This window comes from Homo sapiens, chromosome 18 (genome assembly GCF_000001405.40).
Source record: "Homo sapiens chromosome 18, GRCh38.p14 Primary Assembly".
Classification (NCBI taxonomy): domain Eukaryota; kingdom Metazoa; phylum Chordata; class Mammalia; order Primates; family Hominidae; genus Homo; species Homo sapiens.
The window spans coordinates 47,649,545-47,667,045 of record NC_000018.10 but is presented as its reverse complement, the minus strand read 5'-3'; the positions used below and the strand labels follow the sequence as shown (position 1 = coordinate 47,667,045).

Genomic DNA, 17,501 nt, shown 5'->3' with positions numbered 1-17,501 from the left:
GGCAGCTGGGGAATTTACTCAATTTTTCTCAATCGCTGCAGTCTATAAAAAGAGGAGATTTTGCAAATTGTTTCTCACCTTGTCTTTTTAGTATTTAATAGCTCTCAATTCTATAGCCTTCTGAACCACGCACTGGGCATGTTTTCTATCAAAATGGAATCAGGCCTATTCAATGGGAATTAAAAGGTGCGAGCAGGTTATGAAGGGGTTAAACTCTGTTCTGTTCACTCTCTCTTTTCCTCCTCTCTTCCCACTTTCCGTTTTCAGTGTCCTGCTGTTTTGGTCATATTAATTCTACACCTGTCCACAGCTGCCCATAGATGCCCAGGAGAACCGCTTTCCTCACTTCCCAGTGCCATGATGGAGAGAAGGTCAAAGAAATAAATGACAACATCCAGGATTTTTTTTTTTTTTTTTGACGGAGGCTTGCTCTGTTTCCCAGGTACTGCACTGTCCCTCGGCTCACTGAAACCTTCGCCTCCCAGATTCAAGGGATTCTGCTGCCTCAGCCTCCTGAGTAGCTGGGGCTACAGGTGTGCACCACCACGCCCAGCTAATTTTTGTATTTTTAGTAGAGACAGGGTTTCACCATATTGGGCAGGCTGGTCTCAAACTCTTTTTTTTTTTTTTTTTTTTTATTTATTTTTATTTTTTTTATTATACTCTAAGTTTTAGGGTACATGTGCACATTGTGCAGGTTAGTTACATATGTATACATGTGCCATGCTGGTGCGCTGCACCCACTAATGTGTCATCTAGCATTAGGTATATCTCCCAATGCTATCCCTCCCCCCTCCCCCGACCCCACCACAGTCCCCAGAGTGTGATATTCCCCTTCCTGTGTCCATGTGATCTCATTGTTCAATTCCCACCTATGAGTGAGAATATGCGGTGTTTGGTTTTTTGTTCTTGCGATAGTTTACTGAGAATGATGGTTTCCAATTTCATCCATGTCCCTACAAAGGATATGAACTCATCATTTTTTATGGCTGCATAGTATTCCATGGTGTATATGTGCCACATTTTCTTAATCCAGTCTATCATTGTTGGACATTTGGGTTGGTTCCAAGTCTTTGCTATTGTGAATAGTGCCGCAATAAACATACGTGTGCATGTGTCTTTATAGCAGCATGATTTATAGTCCTTTGGGTACATACCCAGTAATGGGATGGCTGGGTCAAATGGTATTTCTAGTTCTAGATCCCTGAGGAATCGCCACACTGACTTCCACAATGGTTGAACTAGTTTACAGTCCCACCAACAGTGTAAAAGTGTTCCTATTTCTCCACATCCTCTCCAGCACCTGTTGTTTCCTGACTTTTTAATGATTGCCATTCTAACTGGTGTGAGATGATATCTCATAGTGGTTTTGATTTGCATTTCTCTGATGGCCAGTGATGATGAGCATTTCTTCATGTGTTTTTTGGCTGCATAAATGTCTTCTTTTGAGAAGTGTCTGTTCATGTCCTTCGCCCACTTTTTGATGGGGTTGTTTGTTTTTTTCTTGTAAATTTGTTTGAGTTCATTGTAGATTCTGGATATTAGCCCTTTGTCAGATGAGTAGGTTGCAAAAATTTTCTCCCATGTTGTAGGTTGCCTGTTCACTCTGATGGTAGTTTCTTTTGCTGTGCAGAAGCTCTTTAGTTTAATTAGATCCCATTTGTCAATTTTGGCTTTTGTTGCCATTGCTTTTGGTGTTTTAGACCTGAAGTCCTTGCCCACGCCTATGTCCTGAATGGTAATGCCTAGGTTTTCTTCTAGGGTTTTTATGGTTTTAGGTCTAATGTTTAAATCTTTAATCCATCTTGAATTGATTTTTGTATAAGGTGTAAGGAAGGGATCCAGTTTCAGCTTTCTCCATATGGCTAGCCAGTTTTCCCAGCACCATTTATTAAATAGGGAATCCTTTCCCCATTGCTTGTTTTTCTCAGGTTTGTCAAAGATCAGATAGTTGTAGATATGCGGCATTATTTCTGAGGGCTCTGTTCTGTTGCATTGATCTATATCTCTGTTTTGGTACCAGTACCATGCTGTTTTGGTTACTGTAGCCTTGTAGTATAGTTTGAAGTCAGGTAGTGTGATGCCTCCAGCTTTGTTCTTTTGGCTTAGGATTGACTTGGCGATGTGGGCTCTTTTTTGGTTCCATATGAACTTTAAAGTAGTTTTTTCCAATTCTGTGAAGAAAGTCATTGGTAGCTTGATGGGGATGGCATTGAATCTCTAAATTACCTTGGGCAGTATGGCCATTTTCACGATATTGATTCTTCCTACCCATGAGCATGGAATGTTCTTCCATTTGTTTGTGTCCTCTTTTATTTCATTGAGCAGTGGTTTGTAGTTCTCCTTGAAGAGGTCCTTCACATCCCTTGTAAGTTGGATTCCTAGGTATTTTATTCTCTTTGAAGCAGTTGTGAATGGGAGTTCACCCATGATTTGGCTCTCTGTTTGTCTGTTGTTGGTGTATAAGAATGCTTGTGATTTTTGTACATTGATTTTGTATCCTGAGACTTTGCTGAAGTTGCTTATCAGCTTAAGGAGATTTTGGGCTGAGACGATGGGGTTTTCTAGATAAACAATCATGTCGTCTGCAAACAGGGACAATTTGACTTCCTCTTTTCCTAATTGAATACCCTTTATTTCCTTCTCCTGCCTGATTGCCCTGGCCAGAACTTCCAACACTATGTTGAATAGGAGCGGTGAGAGAGGGCATCCCTGTCTTGTGCCAGTTTTCAAAGGGAATGCTTCCAGTTTTTGCCCATTCAGTATGATATTGGCTGTGGGTTTGTCATAGATAGCTCTTATTATTTTGAGATACGTCCCATCAATACCTAATTTATTGAGAGTTTTTAGCATGAAGGGTTGTTGAATTTTGTCAAAGGCTTTTTCTGCATCTATTGAGATAATCATGTGGTTTTTGTCTTTGGCTCTGTTTATATGCTGGATTACATTTATTGATTTGCGTATATTGAACCAGCCTTGCATCCCAGGGATGAAGCCCACTTGATCATGGTGGATAAGCTTTTTGATGTGCTGCTGGATTCGGTTTGCCAGTATTTTATTGAGGATTTTTGCATCAATGTTCATCAAGGATATTGGTCTAAAATTCTCTTTTTTGGTTGTGTCTCTGCCCGGCTTTGGTATCAGAATGATGCTGGCCTCATAAAATGAGTTAGGGAGGATTCCCTCTTTTTCTATTGATTGGAATAGTTTCAGAAGGAATGGTACCAGTTCCTCCTTGTACCTCTGGTAGAATTCGGCTGTGAATCCATCTGGTCCTGGACTCTTTTTGGTTGGTAAACTATTGATTATTGCTACAATTTCAGAGCCTGTTATTGGTCTATTCAGAGATTCAACTTCTTCCTGGTTTAGTCTTGGGAGAGTGTATGTGTCCAGGAATTTATCCATTTCTTCTAGATTTTCTAGTTTATTTGCGTAGAGGTGTTTGTAGTATTCTCTGATGGTAGTTTGTATTTCTGTGGGATCGGTGGTGATATCCCCTTTATCATTTTTTATTGTGTCTATTTGATTCTTCTCTCTTTTTTTCTTTATTAGTCTTGCTAGCGGTCTATCAATTTTGTTGATCCTTTCAAAAAACCAGCTCCTGGATTCATTGATTTTTTGAAGGGTTTTTTGTGTCTCTATTTCCTTCAGTTCTGCTCTGATTTTAGTTATTTCTTGCCTTCTGCTAGCTTTTGAATGTGTTTGCTCTCACTTTTCTAGTTCTTCTAATTGTGATGTTAGGGTGTCAATTTTGGATCTTTCCTGCTTTCTCTTGTGGGCATTTAGTGCTATAAATTTCCCTGTACACACTGCTTTGAATGTGTCCCAGAGATTCTGGTATGTGGTGTCTTTGTTCTCGTTGGTTTCAAAGAACATCTTTATTTATGCCTTCATTTCGTTATGTACCCAGTAGTCATTCAGGAGCAGGTTGTTCAGTTTCCATGTAGTTGAGCGGCTTTGAGTGAGATTCTTAATCCTGAGTTCTAGTTTGATTGCACTGTGGTCTGAGAGATAGTTTGTTACAATTTCTGTTCTTTTACATTTGCTGAGGAGAGCTTTACTTCCAAGTATGTGGTCAATTTTGGAATAGGTGTGGTGTGGTGCTGAAAAAAATGTATATTCTGTTGATTTGGGGTGGAGAGTTCTGTAGATGTCTATTAGGTCTGCTTGGTGCAGAGCTGAGTTCAATTCCTGGGTATCCTTGTTGACTTTCTGTCTCGTTGATCTGTCTAATGTTGACAGTGGGGTGTTAAAGTCTCCCATTATTAATGTGTGGGAGTCTAAGTCTCTTTGTAGGTCACTGAGGACTTGCTTTATGAATCTGGGTGCTCCTGTATTGGGTGCATAAATATTTAGGATAGTTAGCTCCTCTTGTTGAATTGATCCCTTTACCATTATGTAATGGCCTTCTTTGTCTCTTTTGTTCTTTGTTGGTTTAAAGTCTGTTTTATCAGAGACTAGGATTGCAACCCCTGCCTTTTTTTGTTTTCCATTGGCTTGGTAGATCTTCCTCCATCCTTTTATTTTGAGCCTATGTGTGTCTCTGCACGTGAGATGGGTTTCCTGAATACAGCACACTGATGGGTCTTGACTCTTTATCCAACTTGCCAGTCTGTGTCTTTTAATTGCAGAATTTAGTCCATTTATATTTAAAGTTAATATTGTTATGTGTGAATTTGATCCTGTCATTATGATGTTAGCTGGTGATTTTGCTCATTAGTTGATGCAGTTTCTTCCTAGTCTCGATGGTCTTTACATTTTGGCATGATTTTGCAGCGGCTGGTACTGGTTGTTCCTTTCCATGTTTAGCGCTTCCTTCAGGAGCTCTTTTAGGGCAGGCCTGGTGGTGACAAAATCTCTCAGCATTTGCTTGTCTATAAAGTATTTTATTTCTCCTTCACTTATGAAGCTTAGTTTGGCTGGATATGAAATTCTGGGTTGAAAATTCTTTTCTTTAAGAATGTTGAATATTGGCCCCCACTCTCTTCTGGCTTGTAGGGTTTCTGCTGAGAGATCCGCTGTTAGTCTGATGGGCTTTCCTTTGAGGGTAACCCGACCTTTCTCTCTGGCTGCCCTTAACATTTTTTCCTTCATTTCAACTTTGGTGAATCTGACAATTATGTGTCTTGGAGTTGCTCTTCTCGAGGAGTATCTTTCTGGTGTTCTCTGTATTTCCTGAATCTGAACGTTGGCCTGCCTTGCTAGATTGGGGAAGTTCTCCTGGATAATATCCTGCAGAGTGTTTTCCAACTTGGTTCCATTCTCCACATCACTTTCAGGTACACCAATCAGACGTAGATTTGGTCTTTTCACATAGTCCCATATTTCTTGGAGGCTTTGCTCATTTCTTTTTATTCTTTTTTGTCTAAACTTCCCTTCTCGCTTCATTTCATTCATTTCATCTTCCATTGCTGATACCCTTTCTTCCAGTTGATCGCATCGGCTCCTGAGGCTTCTGCATTCTTCACGTAGTTCTCGAGCCTTGGTTTTCAGCTCCATCAGCTCCTTTAAGCACTTCTCTGTATTGGTTATTCTAGTTATACATTCTTCTAAATTTTTTTCAAAGTTTTCAACTTCTTTGCCTTTGGTTTGAATGTCCTCCCGTAGCTCAGAGTAATTTGATCGTCTGAAGCCTTCTTCTCTCAGCTCGTCAAAATCATTCTCCATCCAGCTTTGTTCCATTGCTGGTGAGGAACTGCGTTCCTTTGGACGAGGAGAGGCACTCTGCGTTTTAGAGTTTCCAGTTTTTCTGTTCTGTTTTTTCCCCATCTTTGTGGTTTTATCTACTTCTGGTCTTTGATGATGGTGATGTACAGATGGGTTTTCGGTGTAGATGTCCTTTCTGGTTGTTAGTTTTCCTTCTAACAGACAGGACCCTCAGCTGCAGGTCTGTTGGAATACCCTGCCGTGTGAGGTGTCAGTGTGCCCCTGCTGGGGGGTGCCTCCCAGTTAGGCTGCTCGGGGGTCAGGGGTCAGGGACCCACTTGAGGAGGCAGTCTGCCCATTCTCAGATCTCCAGCTGCGTGCTGGGAGAACCACTGCTCTCTTCAAAGCTGTCAGACAGGGACACTTAAGTCTGCAGAGGTTACTGCTGTCTTTTTGTTTGTCTGTGCCCTGCCCCCAGAGGTGGAGCCTACAGAGGCAGGCAGGCCTCCTTGAGCTGTGGTGGGCTCCACCCAGTTCGAGCTTCCTGGCTGCTTTGTTTACCTAAGCAAGCCTGGGCAATGGCGGGCGCCCCTCCCCCAGCCTGGTTGCCGCCTTGCAGTTTGATCTCAGACTGCTGTGCTAGCAATCAGCGAGATTCCGTGGGCGTAGGACCCTCTGAGCCAGGTGTGGGATATAGTCTCGTGGTGCGCCGTTTCTTAAGCCAGTCTGAAAAGCGCAATATTCGGGTGGGAGTGACCCGATTTTCCAGGTGCGTCAGTCACCCCTTTCTTTGACTCGGAAAGGGAACTCCCTGACCCCTTGCGCTTCCCAGGTGAGGCAATGCCTCGCCCTGCTTCGGCTCGCGCACGGTGCGCACACACACTGGCCTGCGCCCACTGTCTGGCACTCCCTAGTGAGATGAACCCGGTACCTCAGATGGAAATGCAGAAATCACCCGTCTTCTGCGTCGCTCACGCTGGGAGCTGTAGACCGGAGCTGTTCCTATTCGGCCATCTTGGCTCCTCCTCTGGTCTCGAACTCTTGACCTCATGATCTGCCCGCCTCAACCTCCCAAAGTGCTAGGATTACAGGCATGAGCCACCGCACCTGGCCCATCCAGGCAACTTTTATACCACAGTCCCAGCAAGGGACACCCTGTTTCCTCTTGTTTATACAACAGAGCCCTACACCATCCTGGCATTCAAAGCCCTTTGCCCACCATCTGACTCTAAACTATGTCTTCAGCCTTATTTTCATGATTCTCCTTCTGAAACTCTGATTTCTTCTTATGGACTTTGGCTCATACTTCTCTGTCATACTTCTCCTTCTTGTCTGGAAGGTTCTCCTTACTGTCTCCTTCTATGGTAGGCAGAATATCCACCTGCCCCCACTACACAGAGAGGTCTATGTTCTAACTGTCAGAACCTGTGAATATGTTAGGTTATATGGCAGAGGGGAATTAAGGTTGCTAGTCAGCTGATCTTAAGATAGGGAGATTCTTGGACATTGTCCTGTGGGCCCAGTGTAATCACCTGGGTCCTTAAAAGTGGAAAAGGGAATTGGAAGGGAGAATACAAGAGATGGCAGCATGAGAAGGACTTGGCCCAAGGATGGGGCCAACAGCCAAGGAAGACAGGTGGCCATTAGAAGCTGAAAAGGAAGCTGAAAAAGGCAGGAAACAGGCCCTCCCCTAGAGCCTCCCAAAGGAACTCAGACCTGCCAGCACCTTGACCTTACCCGGTGAGACCCATGTTGGATATCTGTCCTACAAAACTTTAAGGTAATGTATCTGTGTTGTTTGAAGCTACTAAGTTTGTGGTAATCACCCTCAAGGTAATCACACTTAATCACAACTGTTAAGCCCCTTTTGCCATATAAGGTAACATTCACAGGTTCCAGAAATTAGTACTTGGATATCTTTGGGGGCCATTATTCAGTCTAGCATACCTGGTAACAAGAAGGAGGTGGCCCTGCAAGATAGGGCCTCAGGCTGAGAGGGAATGAGCCCAGTGTCAACTGACATCAAAATCATTGTTAGAGTCAATGTTGGGATTTCTCTGTGGGGACAAAGAATATGGCATTGATCTTATTGATCTTGTATTGATCATCCATGGAATCAAGTGAAAACTTTTTGTCTTGGTCATCTAATTTTTTTTCTTTTTATAATGAGATTTTTTTTCTTTTGTAATGAGATAACTGAGGTCCCGTGACTTGCCCAAGATTATATATGGCCAGTTTATACATCACAAGTGGCTGGAAATCACATGAATAAGCTGGAAAAATGATCACATCACTTTGATTCTCTTTGGAGAGGAGTGTTTGTGGCCTCAGGTGCCCTCACAGATAGGAGCCAATCCTTGGTGACAATCTCCATCCCATTTCATTAGACCATTCAAAAGATCCACTGTATGGGTGATATAGTTTGGTACAGGGAGAAGTCCTTTTTTTTTTTTTTTTTTTTTTTTTAGAAAGAGAGAGGGTTTAGATTCCTAAAGGAGTCCGTATCCCAAAAGTCAAGTCTGAGGTCCAGGTCCTCTCTGAGGCTGGTGAAGATAAAGGAAGAGGTGGAAGAGGAGGAGGAAAAGGAGGAGGAGAAATCTTGACCAGTCCATTACAAAGATAACTGGAAAAATGGCTTCATTCAGTCATTCAACATGTACTTTAGTTTTTGAGACAGGGTCTCACTCTGTCATCCAGGCTGGAGTGCAGTGGCGCCATCTAGGCTCACTGCAGCCTCCACCTCCCAGGCTCAAGTGATCCTCCCACCTCAGCTTCCCAAGTAGCTGGGACTGCAAGTGTGCACCACCATGCCCAGCTAACTTTTTGTATTTTTGGTGGAGACAGGATTTCGCCATGTTGCCTAGGCTGCTCTCAAACTCCTATGCTCAAGTGATCCACCTGCCTTGGCCTCCCAAAGTGCTGGGATTGCAGGTGTGAGCCACTGCACCTGGTCTCAACATGTACTTTCTATGAGCAAGGCTCTAGGGAGTGAGGAGGCTGGAAGTTGGGAGATGAAAGAGAAGACAAGACCTCTGCCTTCAAGAACTGAGGATCTACATTTGCCCTGACCTTGAGTGCTCAGATATTTGCCTCTTGAGAATGCCACAGTCATTATCTCTCTCCTCACTCAAAGTATCATGTTCAGGTGTGTGTTAGGTGTAGACCCCTGTTCTGGTGCTGGCCTGTGCCCTCAAGGAGCTTACAGTCTGGTAGGGTAATTGGGAACTGTTCAAGATGGGATTGAGTGCCAATCATACAAGGGAGTTTGTGACCAATGGCAAGTGGTCTGAGGGTGTCAAGGAGGGAGGGCTCTGTGCAGATTCCTTCATGATAGTGGGTAGGGCTTGTAGGAGAAATAATGAATAGCTAGAGAGAGGAGAGGTGGTTTAAGAAGATATTCCAGGCAGGAAGAGAAGAATAATAAGCAAAGAAGCATGCTTATGGGAGAGGCCATGAGTTCAGTCTCAGGTAAGAGGTGGGGTTCCAGGTCTCTGGATTTTCCTTAATTGTGGTCTCCCAAAACTGGCTTAGGTGTGACCCATCTCTGCCCTCAACCCTTCTTTTGTGTTCCCAGCTCTGACTCTGACCCTGACCTTCACTCTCTCATTAAGCCAGTACAGCTACATAACTTCTGAGGCCATCCAGAACCAAAGTCATCCCCCTGAGCTCCATGGAAAGCTGGGCAGGACAGAGGGCAGGGATCCAGCCCCACTCTGACCCAGGCTGCAGCATCCAGCATTATCTCAAGCATCTGTTCTGCAGAGGAAGTGTAGCAGGGAGCTCTGGTGAAGGATTTGCTTGAGAGGAAAAGAGACCATGAGATCAAGACCTCCCTCGCCCACCCAAATTTCCATCAGAAGTCCTGCTGTATTCTCTGGTCCCAAGCAGCAGCCGTTGGTGCAAAGCCCCATTCTCAGACTCCTGCAGGCTGGGAAGTCAGCTGACCTCTCCAAATTCCCTCTCTTTCCAGAATCTGAGCCTCTCCAGTTCCCATTTCCTCAGCACATCTTCGATGACTTCAAATGAATGATTTCTCTATTTCATCTGGCCCTGCTAGTGTTTCTTGGCAGGGAGACTGGTGTGCCTTAAGCTACTGTATCCCACCAGGAAGCAGAAAACTCTTTTCCATCTTTGTTTTTGAAGGATATAGTCATTGTAGGAATTTTGTGTTGGCAGTTGTTTTCTTTGAGGACTTTGAATCTATCATTCTCTATCTTCTGGCTTCCATTATTTCTGTCGAGAAGTTGGCTATAAGTCTTACTGCTGCTCTTTGAAGGTAATATTTCTTCTTTTCTCTTGCTGCTTTAAAGATTTTCTGCGCTCTGGTATTCCAGTTACAGTGAAGTTAATTTTGTCACCATGTCCCAAGGGGCTCCTGCATGCTTCTCTGTATTTTCCATCCTTCTGTCTTTCTATGCTATCTTCTGACCTATAACCAGGCTCTTGGGCCTTCGCCTGCTCAGGTCCTCATGACCCTCAGTTGGATCACTGCTCAGCCCTTCCTCCTGTCTCCCTGCTTCAAAGCCTGCTTCCCTCTAATCCTTTCCCCCATCCTCTAGGCCTAAAGAGCTTTCTAACACCAAATCTGACCATGCCATTCCTCTGCTTAAAGTATGGAGCAATTCCCCATTTCCCATGAGTAAGTAAATTCCCAGCTTCTTAATATGTGACTTAGGACACTACTTAGCTTTGGACTGATCTGTCATTATTTTCTGCCTTTAACGTTAGGCTCTAAAAATTCTTGATGGGATTATAATTCTCTCATGTCCATGCACACACAAACATGCACTCCCCAAGTTGTTCCCCTCCCACAAGCCTCTGTTCATGCTGCTCCTTCTGTCTGGGGAGCTCTTCTATCCCCTTTTGTCTGACTAAGCCACATATATTTCCACCACATCTCAGTCATCTTCACCTCCAGGGAGACTTCCCATCTTGTCTCTGCTCCCCACCTCCCTCCTGTTTGCTCCCATAATGACTTTTGCATATGTCTATTATCACACAGACTCTCTTTAAGTGTCTACAGTCTCCCTTTTTAGATTGCAAGTTCTTTGAGTAACTGTGTCTTATTTATCTTCATAACCCTAGGTTCAATACTTTGTCTGGGGCATAGAAGATACTCAATAAATGTTTAAATGATTGAAAATGAATAAGTAAATTTGTATAATTTTTTTTTTGAGGTAGAGTCTTGCTCTGTCACCCAGGCTGGAATGCAGTGGCGTGATCTCAGCTCTCTGCAACCTCCGCCTCCTGGGTTCAAGTGATTCTCCTGTCTCAGCCTCCTGAATAGCTGAGATACAGGTATGCGCCATCACATCCCACTAATTTTTGTATTTTTAGCTAGAGACGGAGTTTTGTCATGTTGGCTAAGCTGGTCTCAAACCCCTGACCGCAGGTGATCCACCTGCCTTGGCCTCCCAAAGTGCTAGGATTACTGCGCCCGGCCAAAAATTTCTTTGGTTTCATATCCTCATACGAATCAATCATGTCAGTCCTATTTTAGGTAAGAAAAAGAAATAGACTAAATACCCTGTCTCTAATTGCACAGATAGTAAAAGCTAGAGCCCCAAAGATCTCTTAAACTGCATCTGTCCGATGAAGCCCACGCTGACTTTCCTCTTCCTTCTCTTAATTCTTTGCCTATCAGAGTCCTTTACACATGATCTAGCCTTCGATCGTATGTGACCTTCTATTGTTCTCTAATTGTAACAGAGGCGGAAAAAAATCAATGGGCCAAGTGTTTTCTATGACATTTTTCATTAGTTTAGTTCAATACTATAGACTTATTGATTGATGGCATAGAAATTGGTCATTAGAAAACACTGTTTTGACTAAATATTATTGCCCAGTTGGTCGTCTGGACTAGGTGGAGTCAGGAGTCAGGGAGGTTGAAACTTACATCTCCCTAGGGAGAGGCTCTGTGGGTGGGGATTGGACACCAGTTGCAGCCAATGAGAAGAAGACAGTGTCAAGAACACATAAGGAAGAGCAATAGGCCAGCCTGCACCAGGACAGCCAGGGGATGAGGGGAGGGAATGCTGGAGCTGGCTTACACAGCAGCTGAGCAACAGGAGATGCAGAAGGAGGCATTGACAGGAATCCCTCCTTATAAATAGCAGGGCCCTGAATGCTAACTGAGGTCCAGGCCCCACAGTGGAGCTGTCCTAGGGGCATCTGGACTTCTTAGTGAATGCATTACTGAGAGGACAGCCTTGCTTGAGGTTGAGCATGTGTGGCAGGAAAGGGAGGGGTGCTGTCAAGTGACTGAGCTAGAGGATCCAGGCAGGATGTGACTGCTCCTGGCAGACACTAACCACAGCAAATCCAGGGGCAGGAGGTTGTAAAAGCAGGTGAGAAGCCAGGAAAAAAAGAGATGGAAGAAGGCTGAAAGCCCAGAGTAGGAGGTCAAGATGAGAGTGAGATGGGGCTGGGAGGCTGGTAGCTGAGGCAGTGCTGAGGGCTTTGGACCAGGTGACTAGGAAGTGAGTCAGATTCCAGGCAGTCAAGCCAGGCACTAACGCCCATTGTAGACCATAAGACCAAGGTGCCAGGAGGTAGAGTGGGCATAAAGGCTCAGAGAGTCGTATGTCGTGAATGGACATCAGAAGGGGACTGAGTAGGGGTGGGATTTACATGCAGGCTGTGGTCAGGCTCCCAGGAATTCCTAGGGAGCAAGGGAGAGGCAGGTGAAAGTTGTATTTAGGGTTCAGGTAAAATGGGGGGTCAGGAAGCTCATAAGATGGTCAGATCCAGGGAAGCCACAGAAATCAAACAGGCAAGATAGTAACAGACAAATGGGCTTCGTAGAGGCACCTAGCCCTTACTAACAGAGGCAGCTCTGCCTCATGCCCAGAGCTCCCCATTTACCTCTAGAGTTGCAGAGACCAGGTCCAGGGTGGCTTTTCAAGGTCCTCCTTCCAGATGGCAGCAAGCAATCCGAAGCAAATGGCATCTGGATGAGGGGAAGCAGGACAGATCTCTGCTCCCTGCCTATGGCTCAGGGATACCCCAGTGCAGTCTCCTTGGAAATCTATAGCTGGTGTTGAAGTCTATAGTCTTCACTCTGGCTGGTTGGGGGCCGCAAGCCATCCTGCAGCCCAGGGATCAGGAAATCCAGTGCTTTGGGGGTAGTATCTCTTGCTGATGAACGATTAGAAGTGTGGCTTCTTGATTACATCTTAGTTGAAGTCATCCTGCACATCTGACCAATTTGCTAATTCCTGGCCTCCAATTGGAAAGCTTCCAGCTCATTTTCATGCTACACTGCACAGTTCTGCCTTCTTAATGTAGTTTTAAAGTTGTATTAAATAAACAATGGGAATAAAATAAAATTAATTATTGGACACTGCCTGCTACTTAATTTTAAGGCTCCCATTTTGCCAGTATTTCTTCTGAGGACAACAAGGTGTGGAGTGCCAGGCATCTGGACTGGCCCTTCTTGGGCATTCCTGTGTAGGAGAATGAAGAGGAAAAGGAATAGAATTAAGAAAACCCAAAGAGAAATGTTGGTGGAGAGAATCATGCTCTTTACTATGGGGAAATGGCTTTTGATCCAATTTCTTGGGTTCCCCCAATTATCTGGACAGCCAAGTGGGAAGAGGACAAATTGTTCAGGAAAAAAAAATCAGATGAATTATCAGGTATTCCCTCTCAAGAATCTTTGGATTGTATGTGCTAACATTTCTTTCCTAAACAGGCAAGATCTGGGCTCTTACCATTTGCATCCTATCCTAACTCTTCCCCAGTTCCCAGGTTCATTCTTTGGTCTTTTTCATTGATTGAGTGCCTCTCTGTGCTATGCTGGGCAGGCTCCCTGGGCAGACAGACCCAATCCCTGCTTTCTGACTCTCCAGACCAAGTTGGATATGCCCGTCAGAGCCTTGGCCCTCATCTTCATAGCACTGATCCTATTTGTGATTTCATGTTTATTTATCTGAGGATTTAATTAATGTCTGCCTCCGCCCACTGAGCTGCAGCTTTATGAGGGTAGAGGCCATTTCTCTTTTTACTCACTGTTGTGCTCCTGGCCCCTAGTATGTGGCCTGGAATGTAATGGACACATAGTAATTATTGGATGGGTGGAAGGAAGGGTGAATGAAGTCAATAGGGAAGAAGGGAAGAAAAGGGCCTTTCTCAGTTGCCCGGTGGGTTGTAGCCCTGGGGGACCTCAGCCTCATTAGAATCCCGAACTTGGCCTCTGGTATTCTATAGGAGCATAGCAAAGCTTTCCCCAGGAGGAGTCTGGAGAGCACTTGGGCCCCTCTCCCCATGGCCCACCATTTCCAGCATTTGCCTGTACGTGCCTGGTTTCCTGTGGACCCTGATCTGGCTCACTCCCTGCCTCCCTAATAGTGTCTCTGCACGCAGCATGGCTCCGTCTTTATTCCACAAGGTTCTAAGCTCCAGGGACAGGAATTGTACCTCATCTTACATCTGAAGCTCCCACAGGTGCGAATCTCTCTCGTGTATATTGCTCCTTCTGTTCTTCCACTTGGAGAGCCCTCTCTCTCCCCCATCCAAATCCTCCCATCCTCAAAGGCCCGGTTTAAGCTCCATCTCCCCCTTGAAGTTTTCCCAAGACACTACAGCCAACACTGCTCCTTTTTTTTTTTTTTTTTTTTTTTATAACTGCACAGAGAGCTTCAACAAGAGCTTTCTACTTCCTCTTACCTTTGATTTTAGGCCAATTACCTGTCTCTGCTTCCTGAAGTCAGGTGTCTTCCCTGTCTGAAGTGACCAACTCTTCCTAGTTTCCCTGGGACTTTCCCAACATGAGCATTGGAAATCTCACATCCTAAGAACTCTCCTAGTCCTGGGCAAACCAGGACAGCTGGTCACCCTAACACTTCCTCCAGCCTAGCCTGACTACTCAAAGCTATCAACTTGAAAGTCAACTTGAAAAGACTCAACTCAAGAATCACTTTCTCTGGAGCGATGCTCCCGGCTAGGTGCAGCACAGGTCCACTCCGCCAAAGCAATCACTGTCCTGCTGTGTTTTTCCACAACTGTGGGTCTCCCTGGGTCATGTGTTCATCATCCCAGTGCCCAGCATAGCATCTGACACAGCAGGTGCTCAAGAAGGAAGGGTTTATCAAATGAGCAGTAATACAAGGTGTTCTGGCTTGAATAATGTCCCCCAAAAGATGTTGAAGTCTTAACCCCAATACTTACGAATGTAATCTTATTTGGAAATGAAGCCTTTGCAGATGTAATCAAGTTAAAATGAGGACATTAGGGTGACCCCTACTATAATCTGACAGTATCTTTATGAAAAGGGCAAATTTAGACACAGAGAGACACATACAGAGGAAGATACTGTGAAGAGGCACAGAGAGAAGACATCCAGTCACAAGCCAGGGAACTCCTAAGGACTCCAGGAGCGAGGAGAGAGGCCTGGGTCAGATCCTTCCCTAGTGCTTTCAGAGGGCCATGGCCCTGTTTGCACCTTAATTTTGGACTTCCGGCCTCCAGAACTGTGAGACAGTGTTTCTTGCTTAAGCCCCCCAGTCTTAGGACTTTGTTACAGTAGCCCCAGGAAACAAGTTCACTAGGCTTCGACTAGGAAATAGCTGTATTCTCCAACCCAACCCATCAGAAGAGTAATCTCATGGGGTAATTAAAATGTCCAGGAAACGACTGTTTAAATACTCGATCCCGCTTCCCCTCCTATAGCCCAGGTGGCTTTGGCAGCCTGGACTGGCTGGGACACGTTGGGGGTTTGTGGTCAGCTGCTCTTCCCGGCCCCCCACCTGGTCCTAGAGGCACTTCCTGATCCCTAGAAGGCTGGAGAGGGAAGGGGAGGTCTTGCCTATCTGGAACCAGGGTAACCTGGCTTTGCTGTTTTGCTCTCGGGAAACCGTTTCATATGGACCGTCTCTGAGTTGGCCAATGTTCTGAACTCATTATTCCTTTCAGGGACACTTTCATGAAGGTCCCACAGGGAACCCTTGACTGCACTTCCTATGAAGGGTGATACATTTGATCAGGTGACCAAGTTGGCCGTGTACACCTTCCCCATGGTGCTAGGGGAAGGGTCTCCACAGCCCCTGCTCCCTGCTGGGCTGTCTCGTCCCTCTGGGCAGTCCCGTCCCTCTGGGCAGTCCTCTGGGGCATGAATAAAAAAGACCTCAGGGCTTCTCTCTCCTGCAGGGCCCACACCTGGCCCAGGAGAAAACTGCAGACAGGTGATCTTCTCACCTCCCCATTACCCTGGGCCAGAGCCTTCTCACCTCCCCATTACCCTGGCCTCTTGTCTGTGATTGCTCGAGCCCAGTGTGCCCCTAGCTCCTGGGGGCAGCACACCTCCCACCTGCCTGTGGGTGTAGGACTCATAGCACAGCCACAGCTCTCACTTTCCAGAAACATCCTTGGTCACTTTGACTTCAACCCCTTTACATCCTGTGGCATGTGAGGCTGAGTCCTACAGGCGATCCACATCTCACTCCTAAATGTGCAGTGACAGCTCCTATGCAAGTTGTTTTGCTTTTGACCCAGTAAAGGAGCCAGGGCTGGGGTGTGGAGGGAATGGATGTATCAGATAAGCCTGGAACATCTCGTTGTGCAGGGATGTAAGGTAAAGCTCCAAGAATCTAGGAGGCCTGTGAGGAGATGCAGGGGCCAGCTCAAGGCTCCCAGGGACCACCTCTGGGACAACGTGAACATCAAAATCATAGTGAGAAGAATCACTTATAACCCACACAGTAGAAAAAACTCTTGGTTCTATGCTTAAACTAAGAAAATAAAACAATTCTAGAAATCAGAAGTGTGTCTGCAGTATTTTACTCTTCCGCCAAATGCCTTCCCAGAGAGCAAGTCTCACTTGACCTCATTCTTCCCATTTTTCAGGTGGAGATATGGAAACCTGGAAAGATATAGTGACTTTTCTAGAATTGCTTAGTGGTCTGGTCAATGAGAAATCTAGGACCAGACCCCAGGTCTTTTGAGCCCAGTCCAGTGTTCATGATTCCCTTAAGCTGGGTGGGGGTGACAGCTGTGAGCAGCCTCCACTGCCCAGTGCTCCAGGGTTTGCCTCTGCCCTGCTAGGGTGGCCCCAGCTTCTCCCTTGAGTCTGACCAGCTCTTTATTCTCCTGGGTAGAATGAATGTCCTTGGATCGACCCTCAGAGGATCCGACCACTCTCCCAACTCCTGGCCCCGATGCCAAAAACTTATTAAGCGGCCGCCTGTCACCTCCACCTTAATAAATAAGAATCTCTTTTCAGTTTCTTTGTCTCCCTCACCTCGGGGCCTACCTCCTGTAACCACACTGTCAATTACACCTCATGTCTAGCAAGGCCAGAGCTAATGAAAAGCAATAGAGAATTCACTGCCTTTTAATGATGGAAACATGGCTTTTTACAGGGAACAATTTATTGGGCCAATTCCCCCCGTCCATCACCCAGGGGAGCTGCTGCCTTTTTGTACCCTGCGTTTGTTACTGTGTCAGGCACTGTGTAAAATTGCCAGCCAAGCACCGAGGCGAAGGCTCTGACTCAATTTACAGGGTGACATCTCTAATCTCCCTTCTCGGATCAGTAAGTGATCCTGGCAATGATATGCATAGAAATTAATTACTCTGTCCCTCCTACTCCCGTTGGGCAGCCAGGAGTGGGGCAACCTCCCTGGCCAGAACAGCTGGGCCAACTGTCCACTGATCTTCACCAGCCCTAGCTGCTTGCACTGGCAGGAGTATGCAGTGGGTCAGAGGACCATGCTGCCCAGAAAAGGCAGGGAAAAAATGCACGGGAGGAAAGCATCTTGTGCTGTTAAGCTCTATTGAAGGTCAAGGGCAAGTACCAGGTCCATCACCATTTTCGAGAGAGAGATGGAGGCAGGGGATACAGGAAGAACACCCTGGGA

General features: G+C 45.6%; 2 annotated features.

Annotated features, from left to right (window-relative positions):
- Positions 5,779 to 6,401: an enhancer, noted in NCBI's record as "OCT4-NANOG-H3K27ac-H3K4me1 hESC enhancer chr18:45187016-45187638 (GRCh37/hg19 assembly coordinates)". NCBI's record gives its function as "activates a minimal SCP1, AML or CMV promoter by ChIP-STARR-seq in naive and primed H9 embryonic stem cells {active_cell/tissue: H9 hESC(naive and primed)}" and the evidence as "EXISTENCE:reporter gene assay evidence [ECO:0000049][PMID:30033119]".
- Positions 6,402 to 7,025: an enhancer, noted in NCBI's record as "OCT4-H3K27ac-H3K4me1 hESC enhancer chr18:45186392-45187015 (GRCh37/hg19 assembly coordinates)". NCBI's record gives its function as "activates a minimal SCP1, AML or CMV promoter by ChIP-STARR-seq in primed H9 embryonic stem cells {active_cell/tissue: H9 hESC(primed)}" and the evidence as "EXISTENCE:reporter gene assay evidence [ECO:0000049][PMID:30033119]".